At 37.1% G+C, this 20,449-nt stretch overlaps 1 protein-coding gene and 1 pseudogene across 4 annotated transcripts; both read left to right on the plus strand.

Annotated features, from left to right (window-relative positions):
* Positions 5,154-6,763, plus strand: CDY20P (chromodomain Y-linked 20 pseudogene; annotated as a pseudogene).
* Positions 8,624-12,020, plus strand: CDY1 (chromodomain Y-linked 1). Of its 4 annotated transcripts, XR_938657.3 has the most exons (3): positions 8,626-10,543; positions 10,964-11,163; positions 11,939-12,020. XR_938657.3 is itself a non-coding variant. In XM_011531512.3 (2 exons), the coding sequence occupies exons 1-2, from the start codon at positions 8,952-8,954 to the stop codon at positions 10,982-10,984; spliced, it is 1,413 nt and encodes a 470-aa protein (XP_011529814.1). In that variant the 5' UTR covers positions 8,624-8,951; the 3' UTR covers positions 10,985-11,411. The 4 variants fall into 4 exon arrangements, 3 of the variants coding, with proteins under 3 accessions (XP_011529814.1, NP_004671.1, NP_733841.1); XM_011531512.3 differs by lacking the exon at positions 11,939-12,020 and having other exon boundaries at positions 8,624-10,343; positions 10,964-11,411; NM_004680.3 differs by lacking the exon at positions 11,939-12,020 and having other exon boundaries at positions 10,964-11,411.

The following is a 20,449-nucleotide window of genomic DNA, read 5'->3' on the forward strand; positions in this document are numbered from 1 at the left end:
CCCTTCTACAGCCTGCTGCAGCCACAGGTAGCTGGCTTTTTAAAAACAATTTATACAGCCTTCCACCAGGAATCATTGTACTTATTGAACTTGCTGCATGCTTACATTATTTTCTTATTATTTTCTTTAGATAATTATTTGAAAGTCACTTTGTAAGCCACTTATTGTATGTTTGTTTTACAAAAACCAAAATGTACTTTATAACAGAGAATCTTACCTCATGCATTTTATACAAAATTGATAATTTCACTTAATAAAAAAACAAAAACTTTATAACATGACCACTAAAACAAAAACCTAACACCTGGGATTGCAAATTGGAAATGTAACATTCACTTTAAGTATTTTAAACAAGAGACAAAACATAAACCTCATAAATAACAATAAACTCTGAAATTAGAAAACACTCAGTGCTTCATAGATAAAAATAAAAGTAAAACGGCAGGGATGGCAGTTTCAAACCATTCCAAAAAAAAAAAAAAAAGTTTCAAACCATCAAAAACAGTCTGGACCCTGAAAATCAATAGTTTATATAAACCAAGTAAACATTTAATCCAGAAAGACAATTACAAAATGGTAAAGTTTTTTTTTTTTTTCTTTAAGGATTGTCATATCACCTCCTAGGCACATATGAAGCCTTCAGAATTGAAATCCACATTGTCAAAATGAGGACCTGATTCCTGCTTCTCAAAAAAGGAAAGAAACCCTTATGTGCTAAATTACTGTGTTTTTTTTTCCAGTCTTTCCAGAGGACATATGAAAATTTGATAAAATAAACATTTATTTCTCCTTTGCCTAACTCAGAAGTCACTCTTGGTTGGAAATGCCAGGAATTGGTCACAAACATTTAAGTTGCTGAATACAAAAAATACAGTTATCTTTTACACTAGGCAAAGGATAAACAGGAGCAAAAGTTGGAGAGATTTGTATTTGCAAAAATCTGAATATTCAAAAGCAGTTTAATACATTGAAGCACTTAGAAAATCATGCATATGCTTATGACAGGAACATTCTAAAAAACATGTAAAACAATATACTTTAACCCTCAAGTTTATCTATAGCTTCAGAGTCAGAAGAAAGTGAATGTTAGGAAAGAATTAGAAACAACCCCCCTGAGAGTTAAAGGAGAGTGTTAATACATACCCTGTATTTAAAGGTGATAGTTTTCATATTGCTCTTATTCAAAGTGCTAATGGAATGTCAGCTGAGCTTTTAATAACTAACACGTTGCATTTCAGAAATACCAAAAAGCATTCAGAGTTAGCACGTTATGACATTTCAAATACAGAGGTAACATTCAGTGTTAGCACATTATGGCATTTCAAATATAGTTTTCTGAAAACCAAAAACACAAAAACAAACAGAAAGTTTTGAACAATGTAAACTAAATGCAGGAATTAAATGTGTCCCAAATTTTATAGACAAAGAACTTAAAACAACAGTTTTAAGTAGGGCTAAAGAGAAATGACGGACAAATGATGAAAGAATAACCTGAGAGCGTCAGTGAGACAAATTATAAAAGAACCCATAAAAATGGGAAAACTACTGAAGATATTAAAGGGATTTAACAGTAGATTTAAGCAAGTAAATATTCAGTCAGTCTGAAGGAATAAAAACTGAAATAACCCAGTCTGAGAAGTACAATTTAAAGAAAGTGAAAAAAAAAAAAAAACTGAAGAGTAAATAGAACACCATGCGTTATACTGGTACATGCATTATGAGCATCTTATAAATGAAGAAAAACAGAGGCCAAAAATTTTTAAGGCAAAAATGACTAAACATTTCCTGAACTTAAAAATCACAATCTGAAAGATGAAAGAGGACAAAAATCTTCAACCACAATATAGTCAATGATAGCCACATCAGAAAACATTACAGGCAATCAAGAGCCAATACAAAGAAAATTGTAAAAGCAGAAAGGGAATAGCAACTTTCTATGTACAAGAAGGTCTCGATTAAAATTAACACATGATTGTTCAGCTGAATCCATGGAGTCAGAAGGTGGTGGGATATCCAAGTTTTAAGAAAAATGCTATCAAACCTGAAATATATAACTGGTAAAATGAAACTAAGAAAACATATATAGATAAGGAAAAGCTAAAGGAAATTGTGACTTAAACTTCTCTATAACAAAATGCTATTGCTCTTTCAACCCTGGCAAACTTAACTGCTAATGAACAATCTGTGTGCACAGATAAAATCAGAGAAAGTAATATAAATTGAGAAGGATGGAAAACTACAAGAGCAGCATATTTTTATACTGCTGACCTTAAACATTAAATTATTCATACAAGTTAGTATTCTTCATAGTAGGATATTTTAAGTTTTCAATAATAGTTGAAATCCCAAGTACACCTAATTGTAATATGAAAAATACAACAGCAGTTTTTAAAAATTATCCAGATTTTTTAAATGAGCAAAAAAGAAATTGAGGATCAAGCAAGAGAAAGAGCATATGGAAAACATGTAAGTCCATGTCAGAGTATGTAATATTTTACTTGTAAGAACTGTAAATGTGAGCTCTTGCTTAAAAAGGCACACATTGTTGCAAGTGTACCCTTAAACGAAGGAGTCACTTTTGTGACTTCTATGCAAGGCATACTTTAGGTGCAAAGACAAATAGGTCGAAGTAAAATAATACTAGATTCTGGGAAAGTTCTGCAATGTACAAGGGATCACTGTATATCCGTCCCTTCAACTATACAATGGGTGCAGTGGCAGGATTAGTATGATGCAATTACTATAGAATTCCGAGTCTACCTGAAGGTTTACAGCTTCCAAAAAAAGATTTTATCAATTTTGTAGCACAGATCAACAGCAGCTACTTATTCCTTAATAACCACCAATGTGGGATGCTGCTTTGCAAATATTTCTGGAGCAGCTTACAAGAGCCATGGCAAACAAAAAGGACCCTGTCCTCCAAATCTCAGGGGGACTCATTTGCCGATTGCTGCTTCTGCTTATGGAGGTCCCGACAGAGGTGAATCGTCATTGTTATATTCCCCAAATATTATGCAGGCTCTTTGTCCCTCTGTGCAACCAACTTTCAGTAGATTTAAAAAGCGAAAATATTTTTTCTTGATTGTTCTTCTTTTTCTCTTAAGATGTTTGTAGACTAAAACATTCAAAATTAATCATATACACACACACACACACACACACACACACACACACATATATATATATAATGAATTGTGGTTTTAACGATATGTGCCCCAAAACAATGGGCCTCAAAAGAGACCCAAGACAAAGCTCAATACAGCTGATTTACAGGAGAGTAAGAGCCTATATAATGAGTAAACAAAACTCTACCAAACCATAGAAGTAGAAAATCTTATGTTCAAAGTTACAGCACTTTAAAATTTAAATGCTCTTTTTCAGCACCAGCAAAATCACAAACTACAGAGTGAAATAGAGAAGTATGGCTCATTTTAATAACAACTACAAAATAATTACGAAAAAATAAGCTTTTTTTTGACAGCCCAAATGGCAGCCTTACTAAAATATAATATTTACAATTAAGCTACATAATAAGCTAATAGAATGAACAAAAGAAGCACAAACAATTACAGACAAAAATTATTAATCAAAAGAGTAAAATTATTTTAAAACCTAAAAAAGTCTAGAGATAAACCACACAGTGAAACAGAGAAGTATGGCTCATTTTAAGACGTAAAAAAAAATTATGGTCTGAAACTTTTTTTAGACAGCCCAAATGGTGGTCTTACAGAAACATAATATTTAAAATTAAGTTTCAGAGTAAGCTAATAGAAGAAAAAAAAGAACCACAAAAAATTATGAACAAAAATTAATAAAAAAGTAAAACTATTTTGAAACCTAAAAAAGTCTAGGGATAAAAAGAAAAAAATATTCACTACAGATATTTAAAAGCAGACTTGAGCTGGGGGAAGAACAAACTATCAGCAAACCAAAGAAAGGGTGTTGACATAATTAAGTTAGGAAATGAAAGAAAAAGTATAAAGCAATGGGAATAAAGCCTAAAATGTCGTGGAACACTATCAAGCAGACATATTACGCATACTGGAAGTTCAAAGGATGAGAAAAAGAATCAGGAAGACTATTTAGAAACAATAATGTTAAAGAATGTCAAAGGCAACAAACTCCAAGTAAGAGAAACTCAAATAAACAAACTTAAATTATATGATAATTAAACTCATCAAAAGAAAGACAGAGAAAATCCTGAAAGCAACAAAAGAAGTGGCTAGTTATGTTACTGGCTAGTAACCCTCAAAAATAATCAGCAGATACCTTATCTGAAAACTCAGAGGACAGAAAGCAATAGATTAACATATTCCAAATGATGTGAGAAAAAACTTTTGAACAGAAATCTTATGTTCAAAACATTGTCCCTTATAAGTGAGGGAGAAATTATGACATTTCCAGATAAAAGCTGGGACATTTTACCAGTAGACTATCTTTTTAAAAAATGCCTTATGGGATACTTCATGGTAAAATGAACAGATAATAAGGAGCAGTATGAATGGATATATATTAAGGTAAAGATAAATATATAAGCTATTATAAAACATAAAGAATAACAGTGTACACCTCCACAATGTGTTTCCCATGCAATTTAAAACACAAATATATTTAATAAAAATACTATCACTAAGTTGCGTTTTTGACATACAGTGCATAAAGGTATGATTTTGAGAACTCAATAAGGAAATCATGGGGGTGCAGTTATACAGGGTTAAGGGATTTGTGTGTTATTGAAAGTCAGCTAGTATAACTTTAAAAGTGGAATACCTTTAGAATATTCAATGTAATCACAGTATCAATGACAATTAAAAAAGAAAAAGAGTAACAGACAGGTAGAAAGCTTTCTGTACTACACCAGAGAGTAAGAGATGTGGATTTAGCTACTCTCACTTGAGGCTACTAAGCCAGCTATCATGCACCATGAGACAAAGCCCAAGCTGTCCCACCAGGGCATAATTGTGGAGAGCCTAAAGCCCATAGCATAGCTGCTATTTCAAACAATTTTCACTACGTCAGTGGTGATGAAATAGAATAGGCTCATCCATACGCAGAACCTGGTAAAGAACTGGAGGCAGAAAGAAGTGGCTATGTGGAGATGCAAATGAAACAAATTTGGCACAGCAACTACTTCAATCCTGTGTCTTTCTTCCTGGCTTTCCAGGAGTTTGAGGTTGAAACTATTGTTGACAAAAGACGAGACAAAAATGGAAAGACAGAGGCCAGGCACAGTGGCTCATGCCTGTAATCCCAGCACTTTGCAAGGCTGAGGCGGGCAGATTACGAGTTCAGGAGATGGAGACCATTCTGGCTAATACAGTGAAAACCTCTTTCTACTAAAAATCATAAAGTTAGCCAGGCGTGGTGGCAGGCCCCTCTAATCTCAGCTACCCGGGAGGCTGAGGCAGGAGAATCGCATGAACCCAGGAGGTGGAGGTTGCAGTGAGCCGAGATTGTGCAATTGTGCCACTGTACTCCTGCCTGGGTGATAGCTCAAGACTTTGTCTAAAAAAAAAAACAAAACAAAACAACAACAACAACAACAAAAATTTTTGGTGTTGCAAAGGTTAAGAAGAAACGGTATGACACTTGGGAACCAGAGCAGCACCGGTCAAAAATATATATATTACTTTAACAGATGACAGACTGAAAAACAGAAAAAGTAAAAAAGTGGCATGGACCAGAACAACTAGAACTTTTTCAAACAATACCAGAAGATGAACTTCTACATCTACCAAGCCCAACTTTTCTAAGAATACTCCTAAAACGCTAGTGTCTGGCCAACACCACAAATTCAAAAGCAGCCAGTTATGTTCTGCCAGCCAGAATGTTAGCAGTAATCCAGGGTCACCTCTGTCCGACCCAAAGAATATGGAGCTACTGTGTTCAACTATCAAGAAAGACACTTGCCCCTTACAACCCTTTTAACAACAAGAACACAGTGAGTGGCATTCAGGAACTCTAGAATCTGGACCCTATTGCAGCAGATCAGCAGGATACAGTGGTCTTCAAGGAGGAGGAAGGGAAGATCATCAGGGCTTTATCAGATCCCAGGGCAGGACATTGTGGAATAGAGAGCAAGACCCAGATTCACCCACTATTTTCTCAGAGGTCTGGCTCAGTTACGGCTTCCATGGCTGCAGACTCAGCTACCAAAAAAGGTATAGTGGTATTAATGGGCCAATCGGCAGCCAATGGAAAAACAGATGTGCATACATTAGTTGCAAGAGTGAAAGTTGGGCAAAGAAATGTTACTGACGGTGGCAGAGACCAGCTTTTTATCCAGAAGATGTACCTCATCATAGGCCTAGCAGAAAGTGCCAGCACATACAGAGATATTGCAGTGAAGAAAGAGGACAGATTCACCCAGATGTGCCTATAAACTAGATCAACATAAAAAATGTACTGAATATAGAAGTAATTAAAGCAATGGTTAATGCTCTGAATAGGGCTGCTGTGGGTGGCAGCAAGCTTGTGCTGTTCAGTGCAGCTGGAAGTGTCTTTTGCTGTGGTCTCGATTTGGGGTACTTTCTGAAGTATTTAAGGAAGGACAGAAACAGAACAAGCCTTGAGATGGTGAACACCATCAAGAACTTTGTGAATACTTTCAATCAATTTTAAAAGCCTGTTTTTGTATCAGTCAGTGGCCCATCCTTCGGAATAGGTGCATCCACACTGCCTCTTTGTGATTTCTTCTGAGCTAATGAAAAGCCTTGGTTTCAAACCCCTTATATGACATCTGGACAGAGTCCAGATGGCTGTTGTGTTACTTTAGTTCCTACTTGAACTTTGCATCATCCAGCCTCCTTAATTATTGTGGCCATGAGACATTACTTCATCCCTTGATTGATCCCAGGCCAAGGTCTCAGGCCAAGCTGTCACTTCAGCTCCTTCTTGGTCCAGGGCCAAGTTCCAAGGCTGAGCCTTGTAGCTTCTACAAATCATCACTTCAGCTCCAGATGAATCCAAGGCCAAGTTTCAGGGCCAAGCCAAATGACACCTACTCCAAGAACACTAACCACATTTCTTTACTTCTCTGTCCTTAGAAACTGTAAAGCACAGCCTCATAGTAGGTAAACCACTCACATTCCACCCCCACTGTGAAGAGTTTTTTACTTTCACTTATAAAAGTTTTGATTCAACCTTTTTGCATCCATCCTCCTTAATTTTCTTGGCCATGAGACAAAGAACTCTGTGTGATATCTCACAATTAGAGTTTTCTAGGTCGTAGTGCACTAATGAGACTGCAATGATTGAAGTCTGGGAATTGAGCTCTGGGATGCATCAGCCTTGCGAGACCAACTGACACACTGTCCCCACACTGTGATACACACCCTTCGGGTCAGTCAACCATATAGTGGTCACCAATGGAGTCTGAAAAGGGGCAAGGCAGATTTATACAGCCTAGAAACCTGAGGGACACCATCAAGCAGCCATACATATGCATTTTGGAAGTTCCAAGGAAGAGACAAAAACTCATGGATACTATTTAACAACATAGTCATAAAGAATGCAACAATTTAAGACAATAAGTAAGCACCCAAGGAGCTCAACAGACTCCAAGTAACAAAAACTCAAAGAAACAAACTCAAACTTACCTGATAATTAAACTGTCTAAAATAAATACAAAGAGAACCTTGAGGATTTTCAAGGGAAGCAGGGGAAGTAGCTAGTCATGTAAAAGGGACCCTAAAAATAACCAGTGGATCACTTATCTGAATAACCACCGAAAAGCAGTAGATTTCTTATCTGAAAACTGAGATAGAAAGCAGTAGCCTCATATATTCCAAGTGATGTCAGAAAAAACTGTCAAGCCTAAACATTATGATCCACCAAACTGTCCATCAAAGGTGAGGGACAAATTATGACATTCCCATATAAAAACTGGCACCTTTTACAAGTAGACTACCCTTTAAGAAATGTCTTATGGAGTACTTCAGGGTAGAATGGACAGATACTCAAAAGCAGTATGAACAAACAAAGATTAAGGTAAAGATAAATACATGAACAAATATGTAAGATAAAAAATTTGGCTGGGCTCAGTGGCTCACACCTGTAATCCCAGCATTTTGGGAGGCTGAGGTGCTTGGATCACGAGGTCAGGAGATCGAGACAATCCTGGCTAACATGGTGAAACCCCGTCTCTACTAAAAATACAACAAATTCGTAGGGCCAGGTGGCAGGTGCCTGTAGTCTCAGCTACTCGGGAGGCTGAGACAGGAGAATGGCATGAATCCGGGAGGTGGAGCTTGTAGTGAGCCAAGATCTCACTACTGCACTCCAGCCTCATTGACAGGGCGAGACTCCATCTCAAAACAAAACAAAACAAAACAAAACAAAACGAACAATTAACAATGTGCACCTCCACAATTTGTTCTCCACATAACTTAAAACACAAATATATTTAATAAAAAAACTACCACTAATTTGTGTTTTTGACATAAAATCAATAAAGGTATAATTTTGAGAACTCAGTAAGTGAAATAATGGAGGTACATTATACAGGAGTAAAGGCTTTGTATGTTACTGAAGGTAAGCTAGTGTAACTTTAAAAATGTTATAACATTAGAATGTTCCATATAATCGTCATAGCAACCACAATTAAACAAAGAAACACAAAAGAGTAACAGGCAGGAAGAAAGCTTTCTGTACTACACCAGAGGGTTGGGGCTGTGGATTTAGCTACTCTCACCTGAGGCTACTGAGCAAGTTGTCATGCACCATGAGACAAAGCCCAAGCTGTCCCACCAGGCAGTAAGTATGGAGAGGTTCAGGCACATGGCATAGCTGCTATTTCGCACAATTTTCACTACACCAGTGGTGACAAAATAGAAGAGGTTCATCCATACACAGAACCTGGTGAAGAGCTGGAGGCAGAAAGAAGTGTCTATGTGGAGACGCAACTGAAACAAAGGTGGCACAGCAACTGTTCCAATCCCGTGTCTTTCCTCATGGCTTCCCAGGAGTTTGAGGTTGAAGCTATTGTTGACAAAAGACAGGATAAAAATGGGAATACACAGTATTTGGTTCGGTGGAAAGGTTATGACAAACAGGATGACACTTGGGAACCAGAGCAGCACCTCATGAACTGTGAAAAATGTGTACATGATTTTAATAGACGACAGACTGAAAAACAGAAAAAACTGACATGGACTACAACCAGTAGAATTTTTTCAAACAATGCCAGAAGAAGAACTTCCAGATCTACAAAAGCAAACTATTCTAAGAACTCTCCTAAAACGCCAGTGACTGATAAACACCACAGGTCCAAAAACCGCAAGTTATTTGCTGCCAGCAAGAACGTTAGGAGAAAGGCAGCTTCAATTCTCTCCGACACAAAGAATATGGAGATAATAAATTCAACTATTGAGACCCTTGCACCTGACAGCCCCTTTGACCACAAAACTGTGAGTGGCTTTCAGAAACTTGAGAAACTGGACCCTATTGCAGCAGATCAGCAGGACACGGTGGTCTTCAAGGTGACAGAAGGGAAACTCCTCCGGGACCCTTTGTCACGTCCTGGTGCAGAACAGACTGGAATACAGAACAAGACTCAGATACACCCACTAATGTCGCAGATGTCTGGCTCAGTTACTGCTTCTATGGCCACAGGTTCAGCTACCCGAAAGGGTATAGTGGTATTAATAGACCCATTAGCAGCCAATGGGACAACAGACATGCATACCTCAGTTCCAAGAGTGAAAGGTGGGCAAAGAAATATTACTGATGACAGCAGAGACCAGCCTTTTATCAAGAAGATGCACTTCACCATAAGGCTAACAGAAAGTGCCAGCACATACAGAGACATTGTAGTGAAGAAAGAGGATGGATTCACCCAGATAGTGCTATCAACTAGATCGACAGAAAAAAATGCACTGAATACAGAAGTAATTAAAGAAATAGTTAATGCTCTGAATAGCGCTGCTGCAGATGACAGCAAGCTCGTGCTGTTCAGTGCAGCTGGAAGTGTCTTTTGCTGCGGTCTTGATTTTGGGTACTTTGTGAAGCACTTAAGGAATAACAGAAACACAGCAAGCCTTGAAATGGTGGACACCATCAAGAACTTTGTGAATACTTTTATTCAATTTAAAAAGCCTATTGTTGTATCAGTCAATGGCCCTGCGATTGGACTAGGTGCATCCATCCTGCCTCTTTGTGATCTCGTGTGGGCTAATGAAAAGGCTTGGTTCCAAACCCCTTATACGACCTTTGGACAGAGTCCAGATGGCTGTTCTTCTATTACATTCCCCAAAATGATGGGTAAAGCATCTGCCAATGAAATGTTAATTGCTGGGCGAAAGCTGACAGCAAGGGAGGCATGCGCCAAAGGCCTGGTCTCTCAGGTATTTTTGACTGGAACTTTCACCCAAGAGGTTATGATTCAAATTAAGGAGCTTGCCTCATACAATCCAATTGTACTGGAAGAATGTAAGGCCCTCGTTCGCTGTAATATTAAGTTGGAGTTGGAACAGGCCAATGAGAGAGAGTGTGAGGTGCTGAGGAAGATCTGGAGCTCAGCCCAAGGGATAGAATCCATGTTAAAGTATGTTGAAAATAAAATTGATGAGTTTTAATTGTCAGTCTGTCTGCTCAGGACACAAGAACTAAGGGGCAACAAATGCATCATGAGTTGCAAGATGCCCTAATCCATCTTCATAGCCCAAAACAATTTCACCCATAGCTAAGGCTTGGAAACAGAACTGGAAATGTCCAAGCTATGTATTTAAATTATCACATCATTTTTAAGCACTGTAGCTTTACAAGGAGTAACAAAACAGCCTCTTTGCCCAAATGTGATTATTTTATGCACACCTAAGCCCAAATATAAAAACAGACTCTTCTTGCAAGCTCTAATATGTATCTATGGCTACTACTATATATAAGACCAGAGTTGTGTTTTATTAGATGTTTGTGACAGAGAATCCTGTAATAATGTTGATTTTTTCTTATTTTTATATCCTAGAATACCTCTGTTGGGATATAAAGCAGCCTTCCCTCCCAGAAAGACACAGAATGATCAGAGATGGTGCCCTTGACTTTATAGTGGCACAAACGCTTCAGAGACACACAATTATAAGAGACTTATCTTTTAGCATAAATACTTATGGCTCAAAATCCACTGACGATCATTCTCCTAAACTGAACACATGACTAGAATTGGTGGTGAGATATCGCTTGATTTTCTTTTCCTTTATAAATGTCTAGTTCTTACCCAGTTAACAAAAGAAAACTTTATCGCTCTAAAGTAAAACTTGTTACACCACATTAGTGAATTATGGAATGATTTTGGTGGAAATATCCAGGTTCTAATGTGTGGAATGTGCAGATTTAGGTTACTTTAGTGTATGTTCTAGTTAATAAGTTAAAATTCTGGACACATTATTAAAGGCAGAAACTTCTTTCAAAGCAAACACCGCTACACTTTGTATGACCTTTACAATTATCAGTGTCTCTTTTTATGAGCACACAATTTTCTAGAACACTGTATGTGCTCAGTTATGCAAAAGCTCTATGAATCCTGTCTTGTTGGTTTTTATCGAGGCTCCATTACATAGACATAATTGAATAATCCACTGGCCACTGGTGATGAATGTCATCTTTGTCACAAGATCTCTAGGGTGTCACTTCACCAGCCAAGAACCTCTGTGGATGATGGCACCTTTGTGCAAGGTTCCCTTGAGCCTGCTTTTCTAATTTTACAAACCCATCTTACAGGCTGCACTCAGCTCAAACTATGGGCTTAGGTTTCATTTTGCTATGGATGCACCAGGCACAGACTGGAGGCAGATGCATGAGTGAGTGTTGGTTCAGTCCAGCCACTGCACACAGCTTTGCCTGTTATCTGTGATGAGGTAAGCAGGTCAGGTGCTGGTACAGGTGACAGCTCCCTGCAAATCTTTAGGTGAATCAGGCATACCACAAGCTTTCTCTTCTGCAGGCACTGAAGAATGCAGTGGCATCCACAAAAGAAGAAATGCCAGAAAATGCAAAGGCCCAAGGACGTCATCCTAGCCCTGGCATGGGAAAGGTTTAGAGCTGGGGTATCTAAAGGGCCAATGTCCTGCTTTCTTTTTCCTTTTTTCTTTTTTTTTTTTTTTTTTCTTATCTATGGGATCACTATGACTTAAATTAGGGTTTTCAAAGGGCTCTGTCTCTCTTTCTACTGGAAATTAGCATCTTGTCTTTTCTTCACTCTTTCTCTCTTTGACTGCTTTTTATTTACTATGACATGCTATAGAAGAAATGCGTCTTGGCCCAGCATCTTTCTGTTGACTGTAGGGCTATTTGTCAGAAGCAGTAAGATTTTGGCTCAGCAATAAGGTAACATCTTCCCATTTAAGACCAAAAAAAGGGCTAGATATTAGAAAGGCTCTATATATTTATTGATGTATCAGAAAACTTCCCCAGGTCTTACTTTATTTGTTTAAGGTACTGTAATGAAAAAGAAACTTGCACTTTACTGGCACCTCATTCATTGGGCATTTCCTATAGGGGTAGTAAGGAACGTGGAGGGTTGGATGTAAAAACTGGAAAAGCTGATGATGATGTGACTAAAAGGTTCTCTGCATCAAGAAGATGAGAAAACCTGTGGTAACAAATGTGGTTTTGAGTGTTTCCAGGGAGAATGTTTCTCTGACGTTTGGGAGTTGTTTCTTGTGGGCTTTTCTGATATGACTGCTAAGAAAGCAGGAACAATTTTACAGTATTTACAAAGATGTGGGTGGTTTCACAGGGCAAAAAGCCTTGCACATAGGGAACTTCAAACAATGTGCCTTTGACTCTCAGAAACTATCTAGGTTTTCAATAGTATTGACAAAGAAAAGCTACATAGTTGTGGTGGATTATTGGTAAAATTTCTGCAAGCAGAGAAACAGCCTGAAATATCAGGCTGCAGACACAAATTTAAGAATCCTGCACAATCCTGTGGCACAAGCAAATAATTTTTTTAAAAAAGCCCAACTTTTTGTGTGTGTGTGCTTAAGACATGCCCACAGCTACTCAGATAAAAAAAAAAAAAAAAAAAAACAAGACCCCGCATTAAAATGTTGTGTCTTTTGTGTAACCAGAGTGCTTCCAGGAAATAGTCTCTCTCTTTTTTAGAACTTGTACATATTGGACTCCAATGTGTTACAAAGGGTACCTTATATTACTAAACATACTTCAGACTCCGAGCCAAATTTCTGTAAATTATCATTTAAGACTCTGGTCCCAGGCCAAGGTCCTGGGCCATGCTTTCCCTTTAGCTCTTGTGTGGCTCAGGGCCAAGTTCCTGAGCCAAGCTGAGTCATTACATCCGCCATTAATAGTTCCAGGCACAAGGACCCAGAAAAGATGAGAAGTGCTTTCTTCAAAACTAGTTAGTACCTTTTCTTCCTTCTGAGTCCATAAAAATATGAGACTCTTTCTCAAAGTGGGCAACTGACTCTACTCCACCAGAAGTTAACATATTAAACATTTACTATCATCTCACCTTTTGCATTCCTAATTTTTAATTTTCTTGAAATTAAAAAGATCTGTGTGTCACCTAAAAATGAGAGACTGATACATTGTGGTTCACTGGGGGACAGCAAGGTTTGTTTTTGGTTCATGGACTTGGAAAGGCCTTAATTAAAAAGGTCAGTAGGGGCTGGGCATGGTGGCTCATGACTGTTATCGCAGCACTTTGGGTGGCCAATGTGGGAAGATCAGGAGGAGATCAAGATGGAGATCATCCTGGCTAACATGGTGAAGCCCTCATGAAGTCTACCAAAAATACAAAAAATTAGCAGGGTGTGGTGGTGGGCACCTTTAGTGACAGTTGCTTGGTAGGCTAAGGCAGGAGAATGGCATAAACCCGGGAAATGGAGCTTGCAGTTAGCCAAGATCATGCAACTGGACTCCAGTTTAAGTGACAGAGAATCCATTAGAAAAAAAAAGTGAGTAGGGGTGCCATTCCAAACTATTTACATTCATATCTTCAGCTTGTCCTCTATTTGCTTTCATATCTGCAGCTTGTTCTCAGTTTTTGTTTGTTTGTTTTTGTTATTTGTTTTTTTCTTTTTTTTTAATGTCTGAAGAGCAAACAAAGCTCTGGACCAGTGCCAGGTAAAATCCGATGGATTGCCTGCCATTCTTACAAAGCTTAGGAGAAAGGGATTCTGGGAGACACATTGGCAGTCTCCTTTCACCCTCCGCTGTTGAAAGTGTTGCCTCTGTTCCAACTGTTTTCTTTCAGAGAGGATCCAGCTGTCACATAGGACTGAAAGGATATCTAAGTTAATTGAAGATTTCTGGTTAAGGCTATACCACAGTGTTACGTGAAGGCCTCAAAACTAACTCCAGTTTCTGACAGCCCATCAGAGTGTTGCCACCAAAATTTCCAGGCTTTTCTGTGGCATTTTATTTATTTGTTTTTTGTCATTGTGTGGCTAATGTCCCTCCTATTTCTTCTTTGTATGCCATGTTGAGACCTGGAGATACAAGCTTACTGGTAAAAGTCAGTCAGTAGAAATATAATTCAAAGAGTTGCTATTTTGTGTTTTTTTTTCTTTCAAAAGAGGAAGAATTCAAAATTGTGGTCTAAAAATTTTTATTTGATAAGGGTCTTTTTGTCCGCCGATGATAGACATTCATGACACTGTAGGGAATGGCATACATTCAAATAAATTTTCCCTGTTTGGCGGGTGATTTCTCTTTAAAAAGCTCAGCACAGCCATATATATCTAAACAGTTTCTTTGTGAGACACATCTTCTTTTTTCTGCAGAGACACATACTGTGGGGACAGGCGATGGAGCGTTAACCTTCCTTTTCTCAGTTTTGACTATATAAACCTGGAATTCAGCATTTTCATGGAATATCTGAGATCTTAAAATGCAACCTAGTAAAATGAGGTTTTTCTCTTGGGGAAGCCTTGTCAGTACTTTGCACAAAACCCTTGGATTTTAATTCCTCTCTCTGTTATATCTCTCTAACTCTGTGCCCTATCAGTAAACAGAAAATTTCCACTTTCAATAATCAGAAAGAAGGTGTCTTTGAGAGACATATTTTAGCTAAGTGCTGTCTTATGAAAGCCAGCCATACAAGCTTTACTTGCTTTGAGGCACACCTTCTTCCTCCAGCAGCACTGACATTTAAACTAACGGAGAATTTTATGTTTCAACTCAATCTATCTTATTTCCTGCAATTTCAGTATTTTTTCTAGGCCATAGCAAGGGAAGCCACAAATAGTATTAAAATTCTTACTCTATACAAGTGTCTTGCTAGAATCCAATGACTATATAATCTTTTTTTTAGGCTCCCAAGTTACTCTGGGTATCTTCTGGGTTGAGTAGGCTTAAGAAATCAACAAAGAGTCACCAGTAGAGAGCTAAAGCCTCTGCAGGAAAATGTTACTTGTCCTGCTGTCTAGATCCTCTAGAACTGTGGGTGAAGGTTTAGCTTCCATCCATGGGGGACACCTATGTCAGTCACCAGACTCAGAAAAGACAAGAGGAATTCAAAAACAAGGAATATCCTATCTTTTTATTCAGTCAGGGCTATTTCAAAAGGGGGAAAAAGAGAATAGGAATTTTTTTTATATATTTCTTTAGAAACTTCACAAACTGTCTGCAGTACGCACCTCTCTAGATTACATTCTGAAACACAGAAATTTCATTGACTGTGAGACTCTGAAAAATGAAAGTGGCTTATTTATGTATTTATTGCTCAAGGGCATGACAGCCCTACCAGCTCCAGGACAGACATGCCTAGCTTTCTGAGGGAAGTGTTCGCTTTAGTACTATTCAACAGGTATATCTTTTCTTCAGATGGCAAAGAAAAGAGTATGATTTTTTTTTTCTTTTTTGGACAACCTTACTTTGACTGGGGAGACAACCCAGATCTTTCTAAGTATTGTAAAAATGACTCTGCCCTCTTGGCAGTCATAACAGGCAAGTTTCAAGAGATAATTCATTAAAGTCAGAGACAAGCCCCTGAGGAACACTCAAATTTATCTTCTAAATGTCACACCTGCCACCCTCATTTAGAAGTTCCAATAGCCATTTCATCATCTTGTCTTGTTGTGCCACTAAGGAAAACCAAAACTCACTGTTGCCCCTGTAGAAAATACTCCATAGATGTGATACTAGTATAGCAGAAGTTTTCTTCTCATTGCAAGGACTTAGACAAAAAAAAATGAAAAAGATAAGCAAATGTCCTCTGATGACCCTGGTGGATATACAGAGATATTTCAAAATCTAACTCAAATGTTCAATCATACCTGAATAGATGATACATTACTGCTAAACCAACCCCTAACTGTTGCCCTAAAGCAGGCAGCTTTACAGAGAGCAGAGTTATCCATGGATGAACCACATGTCTTTTATAAAATCTTGAAAAAGGGAGGGTGAAAAGGAATAAAAAAAGTTGAACTGATAACAGAATTCTTATTCGTAATAGGAAAGGACGGAGTGCTGAAAACTCGATTGGAATCTTATTGGTCCTATAGAGGAGTGAAAAAAAAATTAGTGAGCCTACTGGAAGGCTTATAAGTGAACAGGACAAAACTTCATAATTACTCTAAACTATTCATAATAGGTTAAAATCACAGAAAAATTATAGAGCCTTTTTTAAAATCCTGAGAGAGGCTTTAGTGAAACACATGTTCCTATCTCCCTATTGGGTTAAGATAAAGTTAATCTTAAGAGAAAAGTTTATTACTCAAGCAGACCCTGACATCAAAAGAAAACTGCAAAAATGTGTCATAGGTTCAGATAATATTGTTCTTTTAACAATGCACCAAGACATAACAGCCTTTCTTTCATTTGAGATTACACTAAGAGTCTTTTTTTTACATTTAAGAAGATTAAGGACTGTAGACAAAGGAAACTGTTTGGAGCAAAAGTTTAAATAAGTGGCAAAAGCAGCTCTCTGCCAGCAGAGATAGAAGCTTGAATAAGTTGTCCACTGGGGTTTAAGGTTTTTATGGCCTAAAAAATAAAGATATATACTTAGTTTGCAAGCTGTCTTGGAGAATGGGTGACTTAGCTTTGCCCTGGCCCAGGACCTATTAGACAGCTTAGCCCAGGCACTTTGCCTGGGAGCAGTCTGAGGTGGTAATTTGCAAAGACTGCTTAGCTTGGTACAGGACCTAAAGTAAAAGCTTGTTCTGGGATGCTGGCTCAGGACCAATCAGGGACTGAAGTGATGATTCATATGGGTTGAGCAACCAGTGAAATACAAAAATAAATATTTCATCCAATACCCGCTAGATCGCACTGCGTTTATGCCCACAAAAAACAAAACAAAACAAAACAAAAAACAACTTTATTTTCTGAAAGCCCTCTGAGTATACAGAAAACAACAAGCCTATGCCAGGCATTGGTTCCCCATCTGAATCAGTGGGAGGTTTGTACAAGATTTTATCTGAATGGACTGAAGGTTCTGTTATCTGTGCTGTCAGGCACAACCTTCTGTGTTAAATCTCTTACTGGTACACACACGTTTTTTTTTGGTCTGGTTATTATGTTATGTTGGAATCAGGCCCTTACTTGTTTACTGGAGGTCTTCCAGGAACCCATTCCTTGCTGTTTACATGGGAAAAGCTGGCTAAGTTGTCTTTGTCCTCCCTCAGAAATGAAAACTCTAACTTCTCTTAGGAGATTGGGCATTGGTCTTTCTGGATACTTTCTGCTGGAGAAGAGTGTTGTGTAGAAAACAGTATGTAGGATCTACTGAGGGTTGGTTTAAGTGTTTGTAGAAGAAAGGCCTGTTAATGCATGGTTTTATTTGCATTACATTTTAAAGTGTGATAGACTTTAGGCACAAAAAGAAAACCAGTTTGGATTATTAGAAAAAGCATATCACAACTAGACAAGGAGAGTAAGAACAGCTGAAATACTTCAAGGCTGCTGACGTGCCCGTGTAACTGTGGCTACATTTACACCTGTTAAGATTTTGTTACATGAGACTTGGATTTATTTAGCTTTCTTGATTTGATCCTTTGAAACAAAAATTCTGTTACAGAAACCCTATTTTCTTTTATGACCTGCAAATATTTGTGGAATGAGTTCCCAGAATTAGAATATTGTTCTAGATTTATCTGTTACTCATATCTTTCTGTTTTCCAAGAACGGTAGCTGGACCTCACCAGTTGGTTCACAGAAAAAAAAAAAAAAAAAAAGGTTAATTAATATTGTACAAACATCTTAAAAACAACATATGAGATGAGAAGTTAGTGATAGAGGTGTGATAGGCTGTGAGACATCTATCTTTTTTTTAGTCCTAATTTTTGTTAAGAACGAATTATGACAAAAGTTGGTTGTTGGCAAAACAGACTTGTCCTACACTTAGCCAGAATATTTTTGTACAGTGCTGTGGGAAATACCTTTACATGTGCTTTCCTCATGGGCTTTTATGAATCTCTATTCTACAAGGAATCTTAAATAGGACATTATAAAGCTGAGTCCAACTATAGGTTTGACCCTTAGATACATGTTATTTGGATAAACTCCTCTATTTTTTTGAGATTCCAAGTGCATGTGGTTCCTAGGCCTGATAGAAAGTGGCTTTTTTTTTTTTCCTCTTACCGCAGATTAGAAAACCTGTATTGGGACTGTGTAAACAAAGTATAAGGCTGCGTTTCTTAGGGGGCTTTTATTGGTTCTAGAAGTCAGACGTAAGTCATTAAAGAAGGCACACTCTTCCAGTCAAAGCCTTTGGAAATCAACCAGCTTATTCTATTGGGTTATGTTGCAAATGAAAATACATTTTTGTTGCACTGAGTAAAACAATTATATTGTTGTAAGTTAAGAATAATCACACATACTTTCCGAATTTTAGAGGAACTAGGCACAGAGGAAAAAAGCATGTTTCAAGTTTTGCTAACAGGAGTATACCAATTGACAGTGTTAAAAGCTGTAGCTACTTTAAAAGAAAGTGCGCTTGACTTTAAAAAACAAAACAAGAATTAGAAATGTTCTAAAATAAAGATAAAGAGATTGTTTCATTCTTCTGTTAGTTTAGTCTATTTTAACATTTGTCCTGCTTGACATTTATAAGCATTTTAGCTATTCCTAAGTTCTGTACATTTTCCTGTTATAAAAAAACCTACAGTTGAGAACAGCTGGTACAGTTCTACAGCTAATTATAAGTCGTTATTCTTGATGAAGATTAAATGTCTGTAAATGACAAAATGTCTAGTGTGGTTAGAAACAGCATAGGCAAAGACATTTGGTTACTTCCGTGGTTTACAATAGCTTAACATAATAACTTTAAATAAAAATTGTAGCACGTATTCAGATATTAAGAACCTTAAAAACCTCATGTGGTTTTGAGCCCTGTGTTAATGTTACCCACTAAAATATATTCTGAAAAAAATAAAATATTACCATCAAAATCACATGTATTTAAATGTGCTTTATAATCCTGTTTAACTTTTTCTTTTATGCCCCAGGGGCTCTCTGAGGCATCCAAAATATAGGGTTCAGAAAATACATCCTTGAAGTTAAAATTTTATTCTGGGAAGCCTGCCAAATATTTTAGAGGATTAAGACACTTAATGTTATGAAATCCAATTCCAGATTTCCATAAATCATTTGTTTTGCCAAAATACAGTTGGTAGAAATGTTTGAAAGGGCAGAAACACTTTTATCAGCCTTCAATATTACATGATAATCTCTTTCAGAAGGACAAATTTTCCCCTTGTAGTTGTCTCCTAATGTTAACCCTAAGCTTAATGAAACCTTATGTAAAATTATTTTAACCTTAGAAAGTTTGACAAAGAAGTGAGATTTTCACAAACTTATTACAACATTTTAACAAACTTTTACAAATTTGCTAAAGAGAAGATTAATGTTTCAAGAAATTTTTGTTGTGTTTTCACTTCAATGCTTAATGGCAGAAATAAACATAATACCCTTTTCAATCTAGTTAGTAGGTTCACAGGGTTTTCTTTTGCAAGATTAATTTTTTTGCAGTATTTTTCACAATTTGTGTAAACAGCTTTATTTTAGTTAATTAAAGAAAATTCTTTAACTCTAGGCAAAATGTACATTTCCATGCCTTTCTATAATTTATTCTCACTACAAACACATTTTACTCTTCTACCACACCTGGCAATTAAATTTATATACAGTATTCTCAATTACACATTATAGTAATATCTTTTAACAATTAATAACTTGACTATAAAACCTGGTGAGTTTATAAAATTACAGGCTGGGTGCAGGTAAAGTATGATTTATTACAGCATAGTTAAAGGAGTGGTTATTTTTATACATCTTCAGGCCTTTGGTGGCTTTCGTTTTTCATAAGTTAAAGTCACATGAACTGAGAAGTACAACAGCCTTCATTTCTTTGGAAGCAAAATATTTAGCTCAACTACCTATTCTTCACTAAGTTAATTAATTAGATTTTTAAAATATATACATAACACATATGTAAACACAGAGAAAACAGAAGCTCCAGGAGTCATAAAATTTTATTTTACTA

Source organism: Homo sapiens, chromosome Y, assembly GCF_000001405.40.
Source record: "Homo sapiens chromosome Y, GRCh38.p14 Primary Assembly".
NCBI classification, from domain to species: Eukaryota; Metazoa; Chordata; class Mammalia; order Primates; family Hominidae; genus Homo; species Homo sapiens.